This window comes from Homo sapiens, chromosome 9 (assembly GCF_000001405.40).
Source record: "Homo sapiens chromosome 9, GRCh38.p14 Primary Assembly".
Classification (NCBI taxonomy): domain Eukaryota; kingdom Metazoa; phylum Chordata; class Mammalia; order Primates; family Hominidae; genus Homo; species Homo sapiens.
In genome coordinates this window covers 124,370,524-124,392,184 of record NC_000009.12, presented here as the reverse complement: position 1 = coordinate 124,392,184, position 21,661 = coordinate 124,370,524, and the positions used below count along the sequence as shown (strand labels likewise).

The 21,661-nt window shown below is 40.7% G+C and overlaps 1 protein-coding gene and 1 long non-coding RNA gene across 2 annotated transcripts in view; both read left to right on the top strand.

The window, feature by feature from the left end:
• Positions 1-21,661, top strand: part of PSMB7 (proteasome 20S subunit beta 7) — a 61,978-nt gene that overhangs the window by 23,258 nt on the left and 17,059 nt on the right. Inside the window, exon 6 of the mRNA NM_002799.4 lies at positions 7,529-7,587. Within this exon, the coding sequence (NP_002790.1) occupies positions 7,529-7,587 (59 nt within the window). The remainder of the gene's footprint in view (positions 1-7,528; positions 7,588-21,661) is intronic.
• LOC124902267 (uncharacterized) lies at positions 7,594-16,514 on the top strand. The gene is made up of 2 exons (XR_007061764.1): positions 7,594-8,108; positions 8,235-16,514. It is a non-coding gene; the product is annotated as an uncharacterized LOC124902267 (long non-coding RNA).

Genomic DNA, 21,661 nt, shown 5'->3' with positions numbered 1-21,661 from the left:
TTGGCTCCGCTTCTCATTGACTCTTGCCATGGGCAAACTATTTGGAACCAGTTGAGTCTCAATTTCCTTGTCTGTAAAAGGGCCAAATACTCCCAGTACTTGAGTTCAGGGTCCAGGACCTAAGACCGTCAATGAATGTTTTCCCCTTCCCCAGTTTGAGAGTTAGTGAGCACCTTATTAGAAAAAGCAAATTTCTACCTTTCAGGTCCTTCCTAGCTTTTGACTTAGAAGCAGCAGGTTTTAGGAAATTATTTCAGTCTTTTACTGTTTCTTTAGCATATCTAATAACATAGATTATAGAATTGCTAAGTTTGTTGAGTATTTTAGTGAACTCTGACATAGAAAAATAACACATTTAAATGTACAGAACAAGTAAAAGCAATATCTAGATTGTAAAATTTCAGATTTCATCCTGAATTGGATTGTTCGCTCAGAAAAAGTTAGTTTCAAAGTGAGTTACTAATCCTGGTAAGCTAAGATCGAAACACCTTCAGAGGTTTTAGAAAATGGAGACTAATTTTAGGTTTTTTTTTTTTTTTGAATGAGACTATTTTAAAATAAATGCTGTTATAACAGATACTTGAGTGGCATTGCTAAACAGTGAATGGCATATGTTTAATCATTTAAAACATTTAACTAAATTCCAGTCTCATTTGAATTTCCAAGCAAAACAACACAAATTAACTATATCCAGATGTGTGTGGTAATCGAGCTGAAATCTAAAGAAGAAGCAAGTTTGAAAGCATGCTTTTTTGGGGTGGGGAGCTAAGAAAAGATAGCTCCATCTCCCAGGCTTACTTGCTAATCTTGATTTCAAGCATTTGGCTTTGCTATTTAAGAGGCAAACGTGGTGGAATGGAAAGAACATCGCACACTTTAAATTCAGAAAGATCTGGCTTCAGAATCCCAGATTTGCTTATCACTGGCTGTGTGATCTGGGCACGTTCCTTATCTTTGAGCTTTATTCTCCTTTTGTAAAATGGGACTACTACTACTTGCCATGCCTGAAGAGCAAACAAAACTGATGTGACTGTGCTGTGAAAGTTCTTAAGTACCGTGTGCATCTGTTGTAGTTTGTTCAGTGCTGTGTTTGCCAAGAGTACACTTCTGGATAAGTGGGGTCTAGCCCCATGCTGAAACGCTCAGAGGACTTCATTATTAAGATGATTGTACCTCTAAGACGGTCCTAAGGAAGCCCTCCTAAGGACGTTAGGCAGGAGAGACATGGTGTATTTGTTTGTGATGATTGATTGCTGTTGTTCTTTGGGTCTGTTGACTCATGCATGGATTGACCTTTAGGCCCTTGTATACAAATGTAAGGAATAAGCTGCCTGCTGCTGCTGTTACACGGAGACTGTGACAGCTAGCAAAGTCTTGGTCTTTTGCTTGTTTTTTCCATCCCCTCACAATGTTGGATTTTCTTCAATTTTTTATACCTTAAAAAATTGCTATTAATGCCTGCACTTTGAAGAAAAATTTAAAAATACAAGTAAAAAGAAAATAGCACCACCCAGAAATAAGCTTAATATTTTGATTTATATGCTTCCAGGTTTGTATAATATATAGTGCATAAGCATGTCTGTTAATTTTGCTTTAGAACATGTTTTTCCCCCACTAAATACTATAGCATGGATCTCTTCCCATTGCCAAAAAAATGTACTTCTACTTTGTCATGTTTAATGTCTGTGTGTATAGTATTTTATTGTTTATTTTCCCTGGCTCCTGATTGTTGAACCTTTACATTTACTTCCAGGTATTTTTTTTTTCCCCTTTAATCTAAACAATGATCTTTTAAGATACGTGACTTGGGTACTTGTCCATGTGTTTCTTTAGAATAAGTCCCTAAGAGATTTGCTGGTTTGGTGGGTATGTATAGCTGTATGATTTCCAATCGATGTTTCTACATTGCCCATTAGAAGAGTTCTATCCATTTCTGCTTCTCCAAGTGTGTCAAAGTACCCATTTGATCACACCTTTGTCAGCACTATTATTCTTTTTAATCTTTGCTAATTAAAAAGGCAAAAGGTAGTTATTTTACTTCAATTCATATTTCTTTGATTGCTAGTGAACTTGATCAGTGTTGCTTAATGTATATAGGCCTCTACCTTTTCTCTTTCGTAAACTACTGTCTTCTCTCTTGGAGTCTTGATGTAGTTATCTGTGAGCTCTTTTTAGTTATTAATGTTCTGCATGTTGCATGTATTTTTCGGAGTTTCAGGGCTTTTATTTTACATTCTTAAAGGAGCTAGTAATTTTGTTTATAAGCTAGTGGGCCTGCTATTATAAGATGTTTCATTGTAACAGACTGGCTGGAGGTGTGGTCCTTGTGGAACTGGTGCTTGGGACTCCTTCTCCTGGGGCGCAGCAGATGTGGGTGACAAGAGGGTCTGTGGGTGAGTCCGGCCCTGACAGAGCTGGGAAGCAGGCCAGGTGCTCTTTCCAGGACTCCACAGGGCATTGGTTGCAGGAGGAGCTTTGAATGAGGACCTAGCTGGAGCAGCTGTGGAGTGTCTGCAGTGGATGGGGGAGTGCCCTGCAGGTGAAAGGGAAAGAGACATTTGTCCTCCCTGCCTCCCTGTCTCTCCACAGCCCGGCTTCTTGGTGGGTTGGGGTGGCGGGTGTTGAACAGGGTGTGTAGGTGGGCTTGGGGGAGGGCAGTGGATGCAGGAGGTCAGTCTGAGGGGACTAGGTAGCCATCATAGTGTCCTCACTTACATTCACCTAAGTGCTGGTCACTGAATTGCACCTTGTTTTTCTGTTTTAAAGAGCTTTGTTCTGGAAGCAGTACTGGGTACTCAGTAACCGTGGGTGTGCTGAAAGGCAGGCTTGGGGAAGGTTGCTAAGGAGCAGCTTCATGGAAACTACTGATGAGACCGAGAGCGTCAGTAGTATTAATATAGTGCAGAAATCCAGGAAAGGCCATTCACTCCTGTGATATCACAGTGGTTTGGACTGGACTAGGACATATAACAGGACTTGGTTTTGTGGTTTTTAAGGCCCTTTTTCCTTTTTGAAAATTGAACTGGCTCTACACTTGAGTTTGTCTTATATTCAGCCTAGTATGGTAAACTAGGCGATAAATATTGCTTTACACCTTATCCAGGCATTTACTGCTATCCTCACACCTTCAGGGGCAGCTTAGAGTTTTTTTTGGCTCCCTCATTTGGGTAGTTGGCCTCACTTTTAGTGCAGCTTCATTCAATAAGCGTCTCTCCTAATGCTGCCATGTGTCAGAGACTGTTGGGGATGGAGGCTGCAGATATGAAAGGATGGACAAGTTGCAGAGATGAGAGTGATAAACCCTGTGGAGGGGAGTGACCAAGGAAGGGTTCTAGGAAGAAGTGATCTCTCAGCTGGAGTTTGAAGGGTGACTGGGAGTTCTGTGGACTGCCATGTGCTCTGTGAGATAGGCTTGAACTGGCACGGGCATTTAGGAAATCATGGGCAGCGTGGTGTTGGTGGAGTATCAGGGGTGTGTATGGGGGATGGGAGGGAGCCGAAGGAGGTAGAAACCTGGTCATGGAAGGTCTTGCGTGTCCTCTCTCAACTGTATTGTAGCATATAGGACTTTTTGTATGAGAGCGCGACATAGGGTCAACAGCTGAGACAGGAATCCCACCCCTGTGCTTGTTTCCTGTAGTCCTAGACAAGGAGCTTTCTCACATTAGTGGGTTGCTATGAGGATGATGAAATGACCTAAAATAGGCCGCATGGCACCTGGCGGGTGCTTAGCAGAAGGCCCTTGTTCTTCTCTTTGGCTTCCTTCTCCTCCTGACTGGAGTAAGTTCTCTGAGGCCTCACCCTTGCTCATGGAGCATAGCCTGCATTTGTGGAGGGCACGTCCTCTCTGACCTGCCTTTCCTTCACTGGCATACTCGAGTGTACAGCAGAGGCCCAGTCCTGGCCACGCTGTCCCCTGGCTTTTCTGTGTATCTGTTCTTTAATGGGAAACCAGACAGTTCTGATGTCTAAGATGTCTCTGCTTTTGGAATAAAAAATCAGAGCAAATGATCCTTCAAAAGATTTTCGCCTTGGTTTTGTGTATGAAGAGAGTGCCAGCTTAGGTAGTTGATGCTGAAATAACAGAATGTCTCAGGGCATTATTAGTGGTTTATAGGGAAAAGAGGATGTAATATATTAATGTTTTACAGGTCACATGGTGGCTGTAGTAGAATGGCATTTGACTGGTGATTTATTGTATGTAGTTTTGGATGTTGGACCAGTATCTAGGAAACTTGAATGAAATTATCTTTAAAGAATACTGGCCTGAGTTTACCATCTTTTTTTTTTTTTTTAAATGGCCAACTTCTTGTTCCTTGTGTCCCCCACTGCATTGCCTTGAAATTATGTTCTCTTGTCACTTCAGGCAATTGCAGCTGTATTTGAAATTCTCACCCCAGTTTTCTAAATGGCAGACACACATTCAGAGGTATCTACAAACCTGTTGACAGGTTTTCTATCTCCAAACACTTCTGTGTATTTCTGAAAAGGGGGCGCCAAAGTCCTCCTTTCCTGAAAAGCTGGGAGCAGGAGCTAATTTGCAAGTGATTTAGAAATTATTTTTAATGTTGAATTTCCCTTTCTTTTCAAGTTTATTTTGGGGCCCTCTTGTCTTTGATTTCATGGGAAGCAGAATCAGGTTGGGAAGCTCCTGCTTTTCAGAAAATTTCTCGAGAGAGAGAGTGTGTGTGTGTGTATGTATGTATTTTTTGAGGTATAAAAAGGGGAAGCCAGAAATACAGTGTAGTAAAAGCCCCAAGTCCTATGTTTACTTGTCTTATATGCCTGTCTGATAATGTAGAGAGCCTCCCCACATTGGAGAAACTCTTTTGTTCCAAGAGTCTGTGGGTTTAGTGTGTTATTTCCACTTATAGAAATTTTGTCTGTAATATTGTTTCTAGGCAGGAAAAAGGTTTTTTGTTTGTTTGTTTTTTTGTTTGAGACAGAGTCTTGCTCTGTCGCCCAGGCTGGAGTGCAGTTGCGCGATCTGGGCTCACTGCAAACTCTGCCTCCCGGGTTCATGCCATTCTCCTGCCTCAGCCTCCTGCGTAGCTGGGACTACAGGCGCCCACCACCATGCTCGGCTAATGTTTTGTATTTTTAGTAGAGACAGGGTTTCACTGTGCTAGCCAGGATGGTCTCAATCTCCTCACCTTGTGATCCGCCCACCTCGGCCTCCCAAAGTTCTGGGATTACAGGCGTGAGCCACCGCGCCCGGCCAGGAAAAAGGTTTTAAAGAAATAATTATTTGGGGAGGGAAATATTTTTCATTTCTTAAATTATTGAGTGAAGCTGAGCAGAAGGAAATATATGTGCCTAGGAAAAAGAATAGAGCAAAAAAAAAAAAATTTACTGTGCAACTGCCAAGGAAAGGAATGGCCCCGGAGGAAAAAACAGCTAGTGATTTTTAAGGAAAAATGCCTTTAAGGTAAGCTTGTTTTTCTTTTTTAACAATTCATTACAGTTTTCCACAAGTTGTTAGCTCCTAGCTAAATACCTGTCTTCTCCCTGTCCTTTTTTAAATGTTTATTTCTGGCCTCTGGTTGATTACCCTTGTGTTCTTCGTGGAGATATTCTTGGACTTTGTTGGAAGAGACCAGTCTGCTCATCAGTGCTGTGCAGGATTGGTCTATATCTGGGAGTATTTTTTCCTGAGATTCTTCATTTGCAGTTGCCTCGTTCGTTCATGGCAGCTGTCTTTCGCTTTCCACACAAAACCAGCTTGCTTTTACTAGTAAGTCTGAGACTGGTTCTCACCTGGGCCTGAAAACAGCAACTTAGGTTAACTTTCCCCCTTGACCCCTGAATCTCAGAGTAAATATGTGACTCACAGAACATTGGTGGAGTTTGACCCTGTTTCCACATCTTCAAGGACATGTTTACTTTGAAATTCAGAGGTTTGTTTTGCTGAATTTGCTCTCACATATGTGCTAGTTTTATCTGAGTTTACTAGTTTTATATCTGTTTAATTTCTATCTCCTTTTCAGAGGGCTTTTAATGTCCCTTTAGATCACCATTTTAGTTTTTTTTTTTTTTTTAAGGAGAAAAAAATTGTGAGGAGGGGAAAATCGGGTTGCCTTTTGCTCCCAAAGCCTAAATGAATAGTCATTGCTTGTAATGCTGGTTTACACTTGACGCTTCCTATGGCTTTAGATGTGATGTATCCGGTACTGTGAAGGTAATGATCCTCAACCGCAGCAATATTCCCTAACAGGAGTATCTGTCATATTCATCGGGATTACCATGTTCATTGATTTGTGTCTGTAAATCTGCTGTTTCTACCCTTTAAATTTGATCTATAATTGGACCTCCTTAAATGGTTCAGATAAGGTAGTCTGTATTTTCTCAATGCGGCGTTGCTGTCAGCTTCTCCTTTTTCATTATACATTCAGCAGACTTGATAAAATCAGCAGGACACCTCATTTGAAACTGTTTAATCGCTGCCTTTTTCCTTTGCTAAACCATTGAGGTGGTCAAGCGATGTACACAAATCATTTTAAATAGAAAATATGGTTTTCTCTGTGACCCAGCTAAATAGATAGTGTTATGCAAAACAAGTTAAAAAGTAATAAATGCCAAAAAAATCTTCTAATTGGAGTAAAAAATTGTGGGCAACTCTATCCTCTCTCCAAAAGTGGAGTATCCTGAAATATTGCCAGGACCTGTAAAGACAAGATGATGATTTTCTAAAGATTCTCTGGTTTTTGAACAAAGCAAATTTAAATTTTCAAGGAGTGCTTAGCTGCCTTTTGCATCCATTCAAAGGGAGCCCACGCTTATTTGTAATGGCTTTACGTCCTACTTTTGTAGGGATAAATTTGCTATCCGTTAATACCTATGCAGCATAACCTTTCAGCCATTTGCTATTGTGATAATAAATTTTTGTTTCTTTGTCTGTCATTTTGTCTATTCAGCTGTTACTCTTCAAAGTACAAACTAAAAATAATAGCTCCAAATAAATGCCACATAATAAAGTGTTTTACAGTTGTAGCTGGAATAACCTGGTGGCTGCTGCTCGCAGTCCTATTACCATTGCTGGTGCGGTAGTTTCTTCCCTGCGTGTCAAGGTGACTCTACCAGGGCCAGCTCATTAAAACAATCTTTTCTTTGGAACTGGCTTGGTATTTAGCGCTATACCCAGCAGCCTGCCAAGGCACAATATGGAGCACTAGACTCACAGCATAGAACACGGGAAATTATGTGGCAGTCACTGTTTGAACAAAATCCAAATTCTCCATAACCTCATTTTCATGCTTCAGCATTTTATTGTGAATAATTTACAATTATACCTGTCAGTGGTGGAAGTAGGACCAGTTGCAGATTTACCTTAGATAGTGGTAAGTGTGACTCCAGGCTTTTGAAGAGCACTGTTTTTACCTGGTTTATGTGGCCCTGTAGAATTAATATTTACACTGTACTTGAATGAGACACTGGGCATGTTTTGCTGTTTTTCTTGCCCCTAGGTAAACTTGAGATGGATAAGCTGGGATATCATAAAATACACTAAAAGTGCACCTTTTTCTTGCAGGTTCTGGCTCCTTGGCAGCAATGGCTGTATTTGAAGATAAGTTTAGGCCAGACATGGAGGTATGTAAGTCCCTGCAGTTTTATTCTTTTTCAAAGATTTTTCTGGTTTTATCTTGAACATTTACAAATTGATTGCTGATTCCTCCCGAGCTTGTACAGCACTGTTGTTAGTTGGAATGTTCTTTGGCACAGATGGTCTGTTTGCCGAAGAGACCAGCTTCCTTTTGTAGTGGCCCAGCTGTGCCCTTCCTTGGGCTTGAGGCACCAGCGCTATCCAGCTTTTTGCTCTGGGCTTTGGGCTGTCTAGGAATCTTCTTGACTGTAAATGCGGTGGTAACGTGGAATGTTTTCTTGCGCACCAAGCTTTCTGTGTCACGATATCTCAAAATGACAGGTTTTTCTGTTCTTACTAAGAACAGAAAAACTGTGTATGTCTTTGCATGTTACAGAGACGTGACCTGAAAATGGAGGCAGTTTTAAAAATCCCTGTAGATGATTCTGCATCTGGCAGAAGATGGGGACAAGACCACACATGTGGGGGATTCATCTCAGAGCGTAATGATCTAGTGTCTCAGATACATGTATGAGAGATTCTTTTATTGTGTTTTCTTTGGTGGTGGGGGAAGGTGGTATCTTCTGAATGATACTCCACTTAAGTCTACTTTAATGATAGATTGTCTCCACCCCGCCACCCCCTACATCTTCAGGACAAATGCACAGCTCTTCCATGGTCACTGTCGCAGGAATGTTGAATATGCCTGGATCCATCATGGTACCACGTTACTCCTCCACGGCACTACATCTGGCCGCTAAACCAGCATTCGGCACATAAGCTTTTTTGATGGTTGTTAATTTTTTGATGGGGAGTATCAACTTCTTTTCAACAATTAATAGGTAGTTTATGAGTGGTTTACCCTATTTCTTAGTATGTAGGTTTTTGCCATTTCTGACTTCGCAGTATTGTTTAGGGACCAGAGGGTGTCTCTGGGAATTGCTTTTTGACAGTGCCTTATGTCCAGTCATCTTTGGAAAAGATTGCTTATTAAAAATATTTTGTTCTTCCGTCATCTCATTGTCATTGGAGCACCAAGTGTCATTGGAACTCTGAAGCTCTCTCTGCCCTTTAGGTTTGGACCAAGTGCTGTCAAAGCCAGAGAAAGTAGGATTAAAGATACTGATCAGCCAGGACAGATAGGGGTTTTCTGCTGGAAACTGCGATACCTACCCTCGGTACATGGGGATAGCTCACATAAGTGACTTGGTCACTTGGCAAGATTTCTTCGCTTCTCGGATAGCTGCAGGAATTAAAACATAGTGTATAGAATTTAGGTGTTTTACACTAAAAATGATAATGTCTTGTTCCAATTAAGAATAGTAAACAGGTCCAAGTATAGACAATAAATGAGATTGGGATTCTGTTCTCATTTCTCAATGTGAACAGTTACTCCCATATCAGCATTATTTTCTATTTGGCCTTCTTAAATACAGAGAAAAAATAGGATATATTAATAGTAGGTCACTTGAAAAAGAAAAGAAAAAAAGTTCCCCAGTTTTCTAACTATAGGAGAGGAGTTCCTAAGGTTCTACGCATCCATTAGAACTCACAGAGGTACAAGGAGGCGTACTCTTGAGTTTTGTTTAGAAAATCACCTCAGTAATGCCAAACCCTTCTTTAAAACACATTAATCTTTTCAAATCTTCCTGAAAGCTTTGTCTATCTCCAGTTGATTGGGACTTCCGTATGTTAAAGAAAAATGAGAATTGTAGGAAAAGTTGAGAGTATGAGGTACATTAGAAGTGACTTTAACACTCCACCAAAGTAATTTTACCTTATTTAGAGTTTGGATTTGAAATGGTTCAAAGGCTGTGAATTCAATATTTGATGTGATTTTGGGAAGTAAAGGGGAATGTCAGCATCCTTTCGATAAAATTGATATTATCAATCTGAAGAATGTTTCTTAGATCAGTTGTGTCCATAACTTGGGAGCATTAGCTGTGAGACCTTGAAACAGATTGGCCATATTCTTATTTCACATTGATTATTTAAATGGACAATTTTAGGTTACTGGTCTTTATTCACTTGTTATTGAAACCACATGCACACTGACAATCAGTGAAAATCACTTTATTTATTTTAGAGACAGAGTCTCGACTGGGCGCAGCGGCTCATGCCTATAATCCCAACACTTTGGGAGGCTGAGGCGGGTGGATCACTTGAGGTCAGGAGTTCGAGACCAGCCTGACCAACATGGTGAAACCTGTCTCTACTAAAAATACAAAAAATTAGCCGGACGTGGTACCGGGCGCCTGTAATCCCAGCTACTCGGGAGGCTGAGGAAGGAGAATCACTTGAACCTGGGAGGCAGAGGTTGCAGTGAGCCGAGATCATACCACTGCATTCCAGCCTGGGTGACAGAGCCAGACTTTGTCTCAAAAAAAAAAAAAAAAAAAAAAAAAGAGAAAAGAGAGAGAGACAGAGTCTCACTCTGTCATCCAGGCTGGAGTGCGGTGGCATGATCTCGGCTCACTGCAACCTCTGCCTCCTGGGTTCAAGCAATTCTTGTAGAGACTGGGTTTCACCATGCTGCCCAGGTGGGTCTGGAACTCCTGAGCTCAAGCAGTCTGCCTACCTTGGCCTCCCAAAGGCTGGGATTACAGGTGTGAGCCACCATGCCCGGCTGAAAATCACTTTATTAAGGTGAAGGTGGTACCTTCTTCTTTAGTGGTTGAGTTTAAAAGTAAACAGAAGGCACATAATAGAATAACAGCTGTCAGCAGATTAATTGTTTAAAAATCTAAAGAGATGTTAATAGTAGGAAACATTTATTGTGAAGACCAAGCCACTAACTGTGCTAACCACACTGTTTGCTTTTGGTGAATATTAAATGAAGGCTGAGACTGCCTAGCAGAGTTGAGAGGCCACCATTTTAGATTCAGCCAAAGTGTCTGTCATTTCTGGTTCTGCGTCTGTATAGAACTCATAACAACAAAGGCAGTTTGGTTTAAAATTTCCAAACTTTTAATTTTCCTTCTTTCCAGGGAGACTTTCTTTCTGTGTCAAAAAGCCCTGGATAACTTTTCTTGCCTAATTAGAGACCACAGAATTGGGTGACTAAGCCTGCTGTTTCCTTTCAGTGTGGAAAGATGTGTCTCAGACAGAAAGCCAGGAGAATAGCACTGCTGCCTTTCACACCTCGAATGGGTTGCCAGGACAGTAACTGCCACTCACTCACAGAGAATTGCTTTGCAAAGTGGCAGTTTTAGGCTGTTGTAATAACAAATTGTTCAACCAACAGTAATTTTTAGGCCAGACTTATGAAATAAACTCTTGGCTTTATCGTTAAAACAAATAACAAATTAGAGGAAGCCCAAAGTCTTTCTGTTTCCTGATCTCCAAACCTGTACTTTGGATAGTGCTGGGCCTTTGGACTATAGTATTTATGGAATACAAGTTCCTCCCTCCTTAAAAACCTGTCTTGTGTTCCCGTCATCTCTAGCTGCACTGTCCAGCGCTAACCTTACGTGGTTATCGAGCGTTTGAAATGTCAGTTGAGAGGGTCTGTAAGTGGAAAACGCACACCAGGTTTCAGAGACTTAATACAAGAAGCTTTTAAAACACCTCAATAAATTTTATACTGATTATATGTTAAATGGTACTGTTTCAAGTATATTGGCTAAATAAAAATATTAATAAAATATCATCTAATTCTATTTTTTAAACCATAACTACCAGAACATCTATTGGGCAGGGCCAGCCTATCACTGCGTTTTGAACTTGTCATTTACACACTACATTTAAGGTTTCTGCCATATCCAGGTGCCACCTGCTCTATTAATTTTTTTGAAAATTTAAATTAACTCAAATTAAGGTATAATTTACATATAATAAAGTGCACAGATCTTGAGTGTAGAGTTCAATGGGTTTTGGCACTCAAATGAAGATAGAGAACGTTTCCTTTACCCCCGAGGGCTCCTTTCCAGGCAGTTCCATTCTCCATGTTTCCAGCAACCACTTTGATTCACCTTTTTAACTTAAATTTATTTTTAAAATACAGTTTATATCTGAAATCCTGGGTTTGATGTACTGGTTCTATTTTTCTTTTCTTTTTCTCTTTTTAAGACAGGATCTTGCTCTGTTGCCCAGGCTGGAGTGCAGTGGCATGACCAGGGCTCACTGCAGCCTCGACTTCCCAGGCTCAAGTGATCTTCTCGCCTCTGCCTCCCAAGTAGCTGGGACTATAGTTGTGTACCACCACGCTTGGCAGATTTTTTTGAATTTTAGTAGAGATGAGGTCTCACTATGTTGCCCAGGATGGTCTCAAACTCCTGGGCTCAGATGAGCCACCATGGCCAGCCTATATTTTTCAAGACACATGAAAGTGGGTACATACTATTGATAGAAATAAAAATGGTTCATATATCACCATCACATGTAAGTCCAGGGATTAAACTTTGGGGGAACATAGTTCCCTTTGGCCATTCTTGTCTGCTCACTGTTCTTTGAATATAGCGTGCACTGGCTCGCCGTGGACTCCTTACCACTGGTGCCCACCAGCAGTACCCTGTTGCTGCTTCATTTATTTGTGTCCCTGTGCTGCACTGTACACACCTGTCCTGTTGTTTTCTGGCTGTTTTCAGAGGCATCTCCTCCATGCCAGTGAGAGAGGGAGCTCCTTGAGGGCAGGGGCCATGAAGTCATCTCTGTTCTTAGCTCCTGAGGTTCAGTATGTGTCTGTTGCCTTGAGACAGTAGGATAACCCTGAGCTTAGTCTGAGTTATCAAAACCACCTGGGAAATGGAAGGGACCTTTTCTTTTTATCTAGAAAGTGCTGAACATCTTTTCAAGGTAACAGAGGACGATAACCAGTACACTTCTCAAACAGCGTGCAGTATTGGGGCACAGAGTCAGCAAACCAAACACCCCATTAAGGACACAGGGAAAATGAAGATGGGGCAAAGGGCAAATGCTCATTGGGAAATTATAGGCCGAAAAAGCAGAAGAGTGAAACCCAGCTGGGATTCGTAAACGCCCAAGATGGGCTTCTGCTGTTTTAAGTTATCTGAGCTATGACTTGCCTCAAGTAAAAGTCCTCAGTTCCTGAGTTTCAACTAACCAAGTGAGTTTAGGGCACATTAAAAATCTTCAAAAAGTCTCACCCAGTTTTGGCCTAAACGCTACCTTGAGTGGTCTTCTAATTTTCATTTTTTTGTTTGTTCCCTTGCTGTGAGCCTGAATTCTTCTCGGGCAGGGACTGTGCGTACACCTGGTCGTTTCTATTCCCTTGCCCTAGCATGGTGACTGGGGCATAGTAGGTATTCAGCCAGTGTGTGTTGAATGGGTGGATAAAAAGGTGTTAAACACAACTTTACTTAGTGATTCTGAGAGTAACCTTCCTTTGAAACAGTTTGATAATTTCACCTTTAGTGTTCACACTACTTAGCTGTGATGGAAATGAAGGTATAAAAATTGTATTACTTACTGGTGATAAATCTCGTGCTTTATTTTTATCAGTGAAGGTGCTTATTCAGACACTGTACCAATGTATTACCAGAATAGGGGATTTTGAAATGTGTAAGTTGACCTGATGACAAGGGGTCAGTTATATGAGAGGTTTTTTTGGTGATGATGAATTGCTCAGAGCATTCCCCCAGATTTTTTCTTCTCTATTGTTAAGGCTGGTATAAGAATTCAGCTCCTGGTCCTGGTTCTTACCCACAGGCTAGCTTAGCTGGACAGGAAAACTAGTGATAACCATGCTGGGGCATTTTCAGTCCATTTTCCAGTTAAAAATAAGGAGTTTGATCATGATACCTGGAAATATGGCATTAGCTTGGCAGATATGTATCTTGAAAATTGCTAAAATTGCTAAAATGAAACATGGGTTTTATTTAAGGGGGAGAGAGAATTAAATGAATCCGATAATGTAGGTTAGTTTTCCTTCTATTCTATTTCTTTGTAAGAAGGGATGTTTTCATTTGGCCTAGTGAGAAATTTAAACTCTTGGAGATTACAATTCATTAAAATGGGTAGAAGATTAATATTTAGTCTGTCAAGATCAATACTGCCCCCTCTTTGCACTAATTGTCAGAATATCTTGCGAGGGCTGCTGAAGGGTAGTGGTGTGCGCAGGACCCTCACATCACAGGGAGATGATTCAAAGGCAAACTGTCCTGCACCCTCTGGTATCGACTTGCAAATTAGCATCTGGAATCTAATTAAACAAGCTTAATGAAAGTAGCAGCTGAATGCTGCTGGAAAAGACAATCAGCTTTTTTCCCCCCTCTCTGATACATATTCTGTACTATTGAAGTTGGTCACCAAACACATCGTGTGAGCACAGTTAAAAAAAATTAGCATTTATTTGAAGAATAGAAACTGTTTTTCATTCTGTTATGCATTTGGCATGCTCTGGCGTCCCATGAGAGCCATGCCACAGCAGATAGTGCACAATATTTATAAATCCATGACAGGCAATAATAGCAACTTGAAAAATTCTTTTGCTAGAATCTCAAGTTGAGAGCTGCCAAAAGCTGAGAGGATCAGATCTGCAGTGGCAGCTGCTGTGCCCTACAGTTAGAATTCTAGACTTTGAAGATGCTCAACTTAAAGAAATGAAGACTGCAGGCTTAGCCAATTTTTGCAGGTTTCTAGAGCTCTGGCTCTCTGCCTTTTGAAGATGAGTTGCTGAAGCTTCTACCACTGCCTGAGGCGTGCTAACACCAGCAGGATCTTTTTTTTCCCCTAGTCTTAGTGTGTCTTCAGTTTTAAGTAGCACATGCTTAGTCAATGCCAACTGTGATGGTCCTTTCTCTGGTTGCAATACCGAGGGATGAGCTCCTACCCTATACCCTTCAGAGAGAAGCTATGAAGATAGGTGGTGACGTATACAAGCGCCACTTCAGCCGTCTGATTTATGGAGTCATATCTCATCACTCGGCAAGTGTTGGCCTCTAGAGAAGCCCTTATAGATTGCTAAAGATGTGAGCAGCTATCGCCCTAAAGGCTTGTGGTTACCTCACAAGCGTGATGCCAAACACCTAGCTACTGAGGAAACAGAATTAATCTGTCATTGCAGGCAGCTATAGATCCACTTTAAATAATGAGAGTTGATACCAATATGGTTTTCTGACAGCAAATCTTAGAAGTAACTGTGTGTGTGTTTTTTTTGTAAGTCCAGTATTAGGAAGACACTGAGTTGCAGGTTCATTTGTGCTTTGCAGATGGACAGTAGTGTGAGAGATCTGCATTATTTTGATTAAAAAATTGTGCTATTTGGCATATAGAATGGTCCCAAAAGAGAACATAGTATGAGTTCAATATGGTTGCATGGAAAGGGGCATGGGGCTTGGGAGCTAGAGGATTGCGCTGCAGGTCTGTTTCCTCTGTCCTTACAGCAGGACTCTGGGAAGAGGGGCATCCTTGTCTGTGCGATCGGAACAGAGACCTGCCTGCACGTTGCTGTGAGCGTTAGATGCGGCCTGTAAAAACACCTTAGATGGTGGCTCACACAAAATTGGCTCTAAAATATGGCAGCTGGTTTTATTTTTTTAGTTATTCAATAGTAGGATACAAACATCGCATAGCAACGAGTAATGTGATTATTTGTGCTGGCATCAGGCTTGGTGAATTTATAGCATGATATAGATAGATACAGGCCTTCTTATCTGAAAGCGTAATATTGGAGACAGGCATATGTGGTGGTCATAGACAGTGGTATATTATTTCATTTACTTTTCAGCAATTCCTTGAGGTCAGTACTTTGTTGTCTCCATTTTGTAGAGAAGAAAATTGGGCCGTAGGGAGGTCAAATAACTGGCCAGAGGTCACACACTCAGTGGAAGACTCAGAGTCTGAACCCTGGTCAGCCTGACGTTAGAGCCCTCCGATGGGTTCAGCCACTGGGCTATATCTGCCTCTTTGTCATTCTTTCACAACAGGGAGGGAAAGACATCTTATTCCTTTAATTCTTTAACACTTTCTTATTCCTGTAATTCTTTAACAAGACTGGGAAAGACATCTTATTCCAGGTGAGCAGAGGTGTGGGCTGCTTGGGCTGTTTCTTTTCTCTGATGAGGTCTTGTGAAGACGGCAGAAAGCCAAGCAAGTGTCAGACAAGGTGTGTAAAGCTCTTTGGCAGCTCTGTGATTGGAGGGAACCCAGGAACAGAAAAGTTTAAGGAAGTCAGAGATAGAGATGTTAGTAAATGTAATAAAATCACTTGGCTGTGGAAGGTCATTTTTTTCTTTTAATTCTAGATTTTTTTTTTCATTTTTAAACTGCCCTCCACCCTAAATAGCTTGTGATTGTTATATTCCCTTAAAATTTTCAAATATTATTTACAAGAGAGCTGTTTTACAGGAGAGCTGTTTTCTCCATATAGCTGATGTACAGACAGCACAGCCCTCTTCAGATTTAGTAATGAGACCAAGAAGTCTTTAAATATTGGTGAATGGCATTTGTCCATTTGAGGTGAATCATGAATAACTTGAACAAAAATAAAAAAAATAAGCAAGACTATCATATTTGAATAATGAGGTGCTCTTTTTTTCCCAACTGCCAAAACTTTTTAATCTTTGTCAACGATTGTTCTGTCCTCCGTCTTATTTAGGTTGCATCTGTGCGACTCTGAGCTCAGGAGCCCTGACAAGCGGCATATGAATTCTGTATTCATTAGTGATCTTGATCCAAATGCCTCTGTCCCTGCCACGGGGGCTCAGGTGTGGAAGCTGCTGGCTAATCCCACCAGCTGACATTCAGAGGTTTAATGACTCCATAGGAAGGTGACCACTCGCTGGGAGGTTTGCTGGCGGAACCCACACAGCAGACAGTGGAGATCAAGGAAGACTATCCGTGTTTAGCCGAAGCACCTTCCTGTGCAACTTGAACCCTGTTGGCATCAAACACAGAGTTTTAAGTAAATGCAAAATTAAACCAAAAAAACCTCGACCTTCGATAACTATTATAAACAATGATTTTCTTATCTGTTTTGATGGTGTTTCAGGCTGTTTTTCTTATGGCGCTTTAATAGGTGTCAGCTTAATGAGCTGAACTTGACTCACTTCTCCAGATTTTTAGGTTTTAAGGTTATATTTGGTTGTTACATCTGTTTCGGTATCTCGTTTGTCTGGGGGGAAAAATGTGTATTTAGACCCCAAATTATTTTCTCATTAAATGCTTTTAAGGATTTATGCTAGGCCAGGCGCCGTGGCTCATGCCTGTAATCCCAGCATGCTGGGAGGCCAAGACGGGCGGATCGGTTGAGTTCAGGAGTTTGAGACCAGCCTGGGCAACATGACGAAACCCTGTCTCTACAAAAAAAACAGAAAAAATTAGCCGGGTATGGTGGTACATCCCTGTAGTCTCAGCTACTCAGGAGGCTGAGGCGAGAGAGGATCGCTTGAGCCAGGGCAGTCAAGGCTGCAGTGAGTTGTGCCATTGCACTTCAGCCTGGGGCGACAGAGTGAGACCCTGTCTCAGAAAGAAAAAAAGGATAAGGATTTATGCTGGTATTTTTGTTTATTGTGATCCATAGCTTTTTTTTTTTCTTTTGAGATGGAGTCTCACTCTGTTGGCCTACAACCTCCACTTCCTGGGTTCAAGTGATTCTCCTGGCTCAGCCTCCTAAGTAGCTGGGATTACAGGTGTGCGCCACCATGCCCGGCTGATTTTTGTATTTTTAGTAGAGATGGTGTTTCGCCATATTGGCCAGGCTGGTCTCGAACTCCTGACTTCAGGTGATCTGCCGCCTCAGCCTCCTAAAGTGCTGGGATTACGGGCATGAGCCACCGTGCCTGGCCAATCCCTAGCTTTTATTTATTTATTTATATTTTTTAGAGATGGGATCTTGCTGTGTTGCTAAGACTGGAGTGCAGTGGCACACTTAAAACTCACTGTAGCCTTGAATGCCTGGGTTCAAGGGATCCTCCTGCCTGAGCCTCCCAAGTAGCTGGAATACAGGAGGGTGCTACCGTGCTCAGCTAATTAAAAAAAAATTTTTAGATAAGCGGTCTCACTATGCTGTCCAGGCTAGTCTTGAACTCCTGGCCTCCAGTGATCTGACTGTCTCAGCCTCCTCAGTAGCTGAAATTACAGGCACAAGCCATGGTACTGGTGTCTTAGCTTTAAAAAAAATTAATATTAAAGTGTGAGTTTATTGATTGACTTGTAACTAATCAGATGTTTTGACTACTTTTTTAGGTCTACTGTTCTAAAAGTGTGGGATACCTAGTTCTATTACTATGTAATAACAGCTTCATTGATAATTCACACCTATGCAGTTCACCTGTTCTAACTGTGTAGTTCAGTGGTTTTTAGTGTATTCACAGAGATGTACAGCTATTACCACAGTCAATCTTAGGACATTTCCAGCACCTTAAAAAAATAATAACTCCATTCTTATTGGCCATCACTCCCCATTTTCCCCCAACCTTCCCAGCCCTGGGCAATAACTAATCCACTATCTCTGTACACTTGCCTATTCTGGACATTTCATGTAAATGTAATCATATAATATGTGGTCTTTTGTGCCTAGCTTCTTTCACTTTGTGTAATATTTCACCCGTGTTGTAGCATATATCAGTATTTTATTTCTTTTTGATGGTCAAATAGTATTCTGTTGTATGGACATACCACATTTTACTTATTCATTAGTTGGACATTTGGATTGTTTTCACTATTTGACTATATTTATAATGCTGCTGTGAGCATTGGTGTACAAGTTTTTGTATGGACATATGTTATGATTTCTCTTGGGAAGAGAAATTCTAGGAGCAAGATTGCCAGGTCATATAGTTACTCTATGTTTAACCTTTTGTGGAACTACCAGAGTTTTCCAAAGCGTCTGTGCCACTAGCAGTGTGTGAAGGTTTCGATTTCTATATGTCCTCCTTTCCATATATCCTTCCATATATCCTCTATCCTTGATTGTCACCAAGACTTATCATCCTTTGGATTGTAGTCATCCTGGTGGGTGTGTGTGACTTGGTATCTTATTGTGGTTTTGATGGATTTTTTGTTAAGAACTAGTGCAACTATGGAAACGTTTAGATGGGACAATTGAAACATTTGACGTGCTTCCTTTATACACTGGATTTGTGCCGTAATTGGGTTGATGATTGTACATTTGTTTAAATATTGAAAGGGCCTTTTCAGAGGCTCCCCCTGAGGCTATTTCTGTCATTTGCTTTTGGTCGTAATTCCTGCTTATTGGCTTTCCTTAAGACCTGAAGCATTAGACATAATAAATTGTCTTTATTATTGGATCAAAAGATGTATCAGTTTTCCCCAATAATTTTCTCTCTGGCTTTATTTAGCATAAAACGTTAGGTTTTAGAGATGTCTGAACCCTAACATACAATCCCTGGGGTCCTGTATGGAATTATTCTAAGTAGTGATTTCTAATAGTGCTATTAACCAGTTAATTTTAGAAGTGAACAGTTACTGAAGTTGGCATTTATGGTTCAGTGGGTGATTCGGAAAATCACCCATTATGTCTTTAGAATAGATGATGATGAGAAACTCTGTTGAAGGTGAAAGGTTCCCACCAGCACCAGATATTTTGAGTTGTCCCCCTTTTAAGAAGTGAGCTTGCTCTGTGCATTGGAGACCACTGGTGGCCAGCTTTGGAGAGGTAGGAAGGGACTTCTTGAGTTAAGGCTGCCCTCTTCAGTCTTCTTGCTTTTTGAATTTTGTGGCATCTTACAGAGCAGATATAAATTTTATGCGGTCTTTCACCTGATTCAAGAGCAGGACTTTGCTTCCTACCATACAGGGTTTGGAATTTTAGAAGTAATTGCTTCTTTCTTTCTTGATTCTCTAGGATTCGTTAGTCTTCCTGGACTTAGAAGTGGCCACTGAATGTGTATTCTTCTGTTCAAGTCTGTGTCTTCCTCATCTCTCTATCTTTAGAACCCCAGTTAATGGTGGTGGCTGGTCCTCATTTCTACCCTTGCCATTGCATTCTGCCTTTATTAAAAGTCAAAGTTGAAAGTGGCATATTTTGGGGAAGGGTTGAAGGAAATTTTAGAAAGTGTGACTTACTCCCATTTAATTTCAGGAAATAAAAGGGGGTTAGATGGAAGGAAACAGAGAAGGAAAGGCATAGTTTACCAAAAATCTCCGTAAGCTTGGAATGGATCCTTCTTGGGGCCAGGTCTCTGGAATTCAAGAATCAACAAATCTTAGGAAAGTGACTATATACATTTTGAAGGTCTCTATTTCCAGTTCTTAGAGGAGTAATGAAAGGATATCAACAAATGGTATATTGGCTTTGTTATTGACTTTGTTGATTTTTCTCCCAAAAATATTTCTGAAAATTCTGTCATGTCTTCTGCCCTGCTGTGTAAACACCCAATTTCATATTCTCATATAACCAGTATGTCATCAGCAGAATGTCATCAGGTTCCAAGTGATTACCAGCTGTTAGGCTTGGTGCTGTAATGCAGAGGCAGTACTGAGAGAGGCTGTTGTGTATGGTGGTGGGAATTCCTTGTGCAGCTATTGGCAAAGTAGATAGAAAAGAAGGGATAGGTATTCTATTGTAGTTGATAGGTAATTATTTATGATGCATTTCTTTGGAGCAGGTGTTCCATTTGTAATATGCAATGTTTTTGCTTTACATATTTCCTAGAACAAAAGCAGTGTTTTTGTAAAAAGCAATGTTTTTGCTTTACATATTTCCTAGAACTGAAATGTAGGGGGACATACACCATATAGGAGAAATATTTCACGAAGTATGTTGTCTGCTGGCACCTGTGGCAAAAGTCCAGCAAGCAAAAAACTTCTGGTCTTGTGACCAGAGACGAATCAGAGAGAGAGGTGAGAGCTAGATTCAGAGATAGTGTTGAATTCGTAAGTGTTTGGAGACTTTTAACTGTATAGGTGGAATTGAAAGGAAGATATTGCTAATGAAATGTTCTGTGTCGTGATATCAAAGAGAAAATGGGACTTCACCGCTCTCTTCAAATTGAATTGCCTTTGCTAACTTGGGTCTCAGGTACATAATAAGCACTAAAAATCCTTCCTTTATCTAGGTTGTCTTTTTTCGGTTACTTGAGCCAAGCCAAGATTTAGAATGGGAAGATTTTCATTGGGAAAAGAAATAAAAGATACTCTTTTGTTATTCACTGACTTTATTTCATTTTAGAATTCTATTTGGTAAAAATTTGGAATCATAACCACTTATTGAACAGTGGCTTTCAGGGGGAGAGGAGGAAACCAGCACGAATTTCACCATCAAAAGTGAGGCTCTGTTAGAAATCCAAGAGGTCGTCTGTGGTTAGAGTTTCGCAAGCTCTTGGAACAATGGATTTCCACTTTCTTGTATATGGGTTAAAGAAATACAAGAAATGAAATATAGGACCGAGTGTTACTGGTTTGTAGCTTAGAATCTTATAAGTTTTGCCTTGGCAGGTAATTTGGCATAAATTGTTAATGTAAATCTGGTTTAGTGGTGAAGACATTATTTTAGTAAAAAAGATAAACTGCTGATTAATTCAGCATAGAACTCAATTACAAATTGAAAGTGTCTCTGCGGGACTCCCGGACCCTAAAGACAGCAGATGTTGAATTGATAATCCAGCATATTTCACAGCGGTATGAAATATTCACATGGTTTATTGTACTTGTGTGGTGTGCGATATCAGAAAGGGGGGTGGTGGGTTCATGGGTGTGCAAGACAGTCACACACTGCACATTTGCTAATATACACGGAAGCATGATGAAGAATTTTAGCAAAGATTTTTCTTCTTTTTATTAGCTCTGTGGAAAATTAAGTTTAAAATAATATTTGGGGCCAAATATTTAAATGTAGTACCTGTGTAGGTTTGCATGATATATGTAAATTAACCTAAACTATAAAATGGTAAACCTTCTAATGCAGGGCATTTAGGTGTTAATTGAGACCACTGCCTACAAGAATTGGGGGGCGTGAGGGCTTGGACCGTATTTCACTGAGTTAATTGTCAGCTTTCACAGGCTGGAAGGTTTTAAATTGCTACTGTACTGTTTTTACCTTGTGATCTAAAGCATATGGTAATTTAAAAATGCCCCTGTATTTTACACAGGCAGGCAGAGAAGTTTTGTTTCTAGCCAAGAAAAAAAAAGCTTTGCAGTTTTTATGTATCTATATCAACT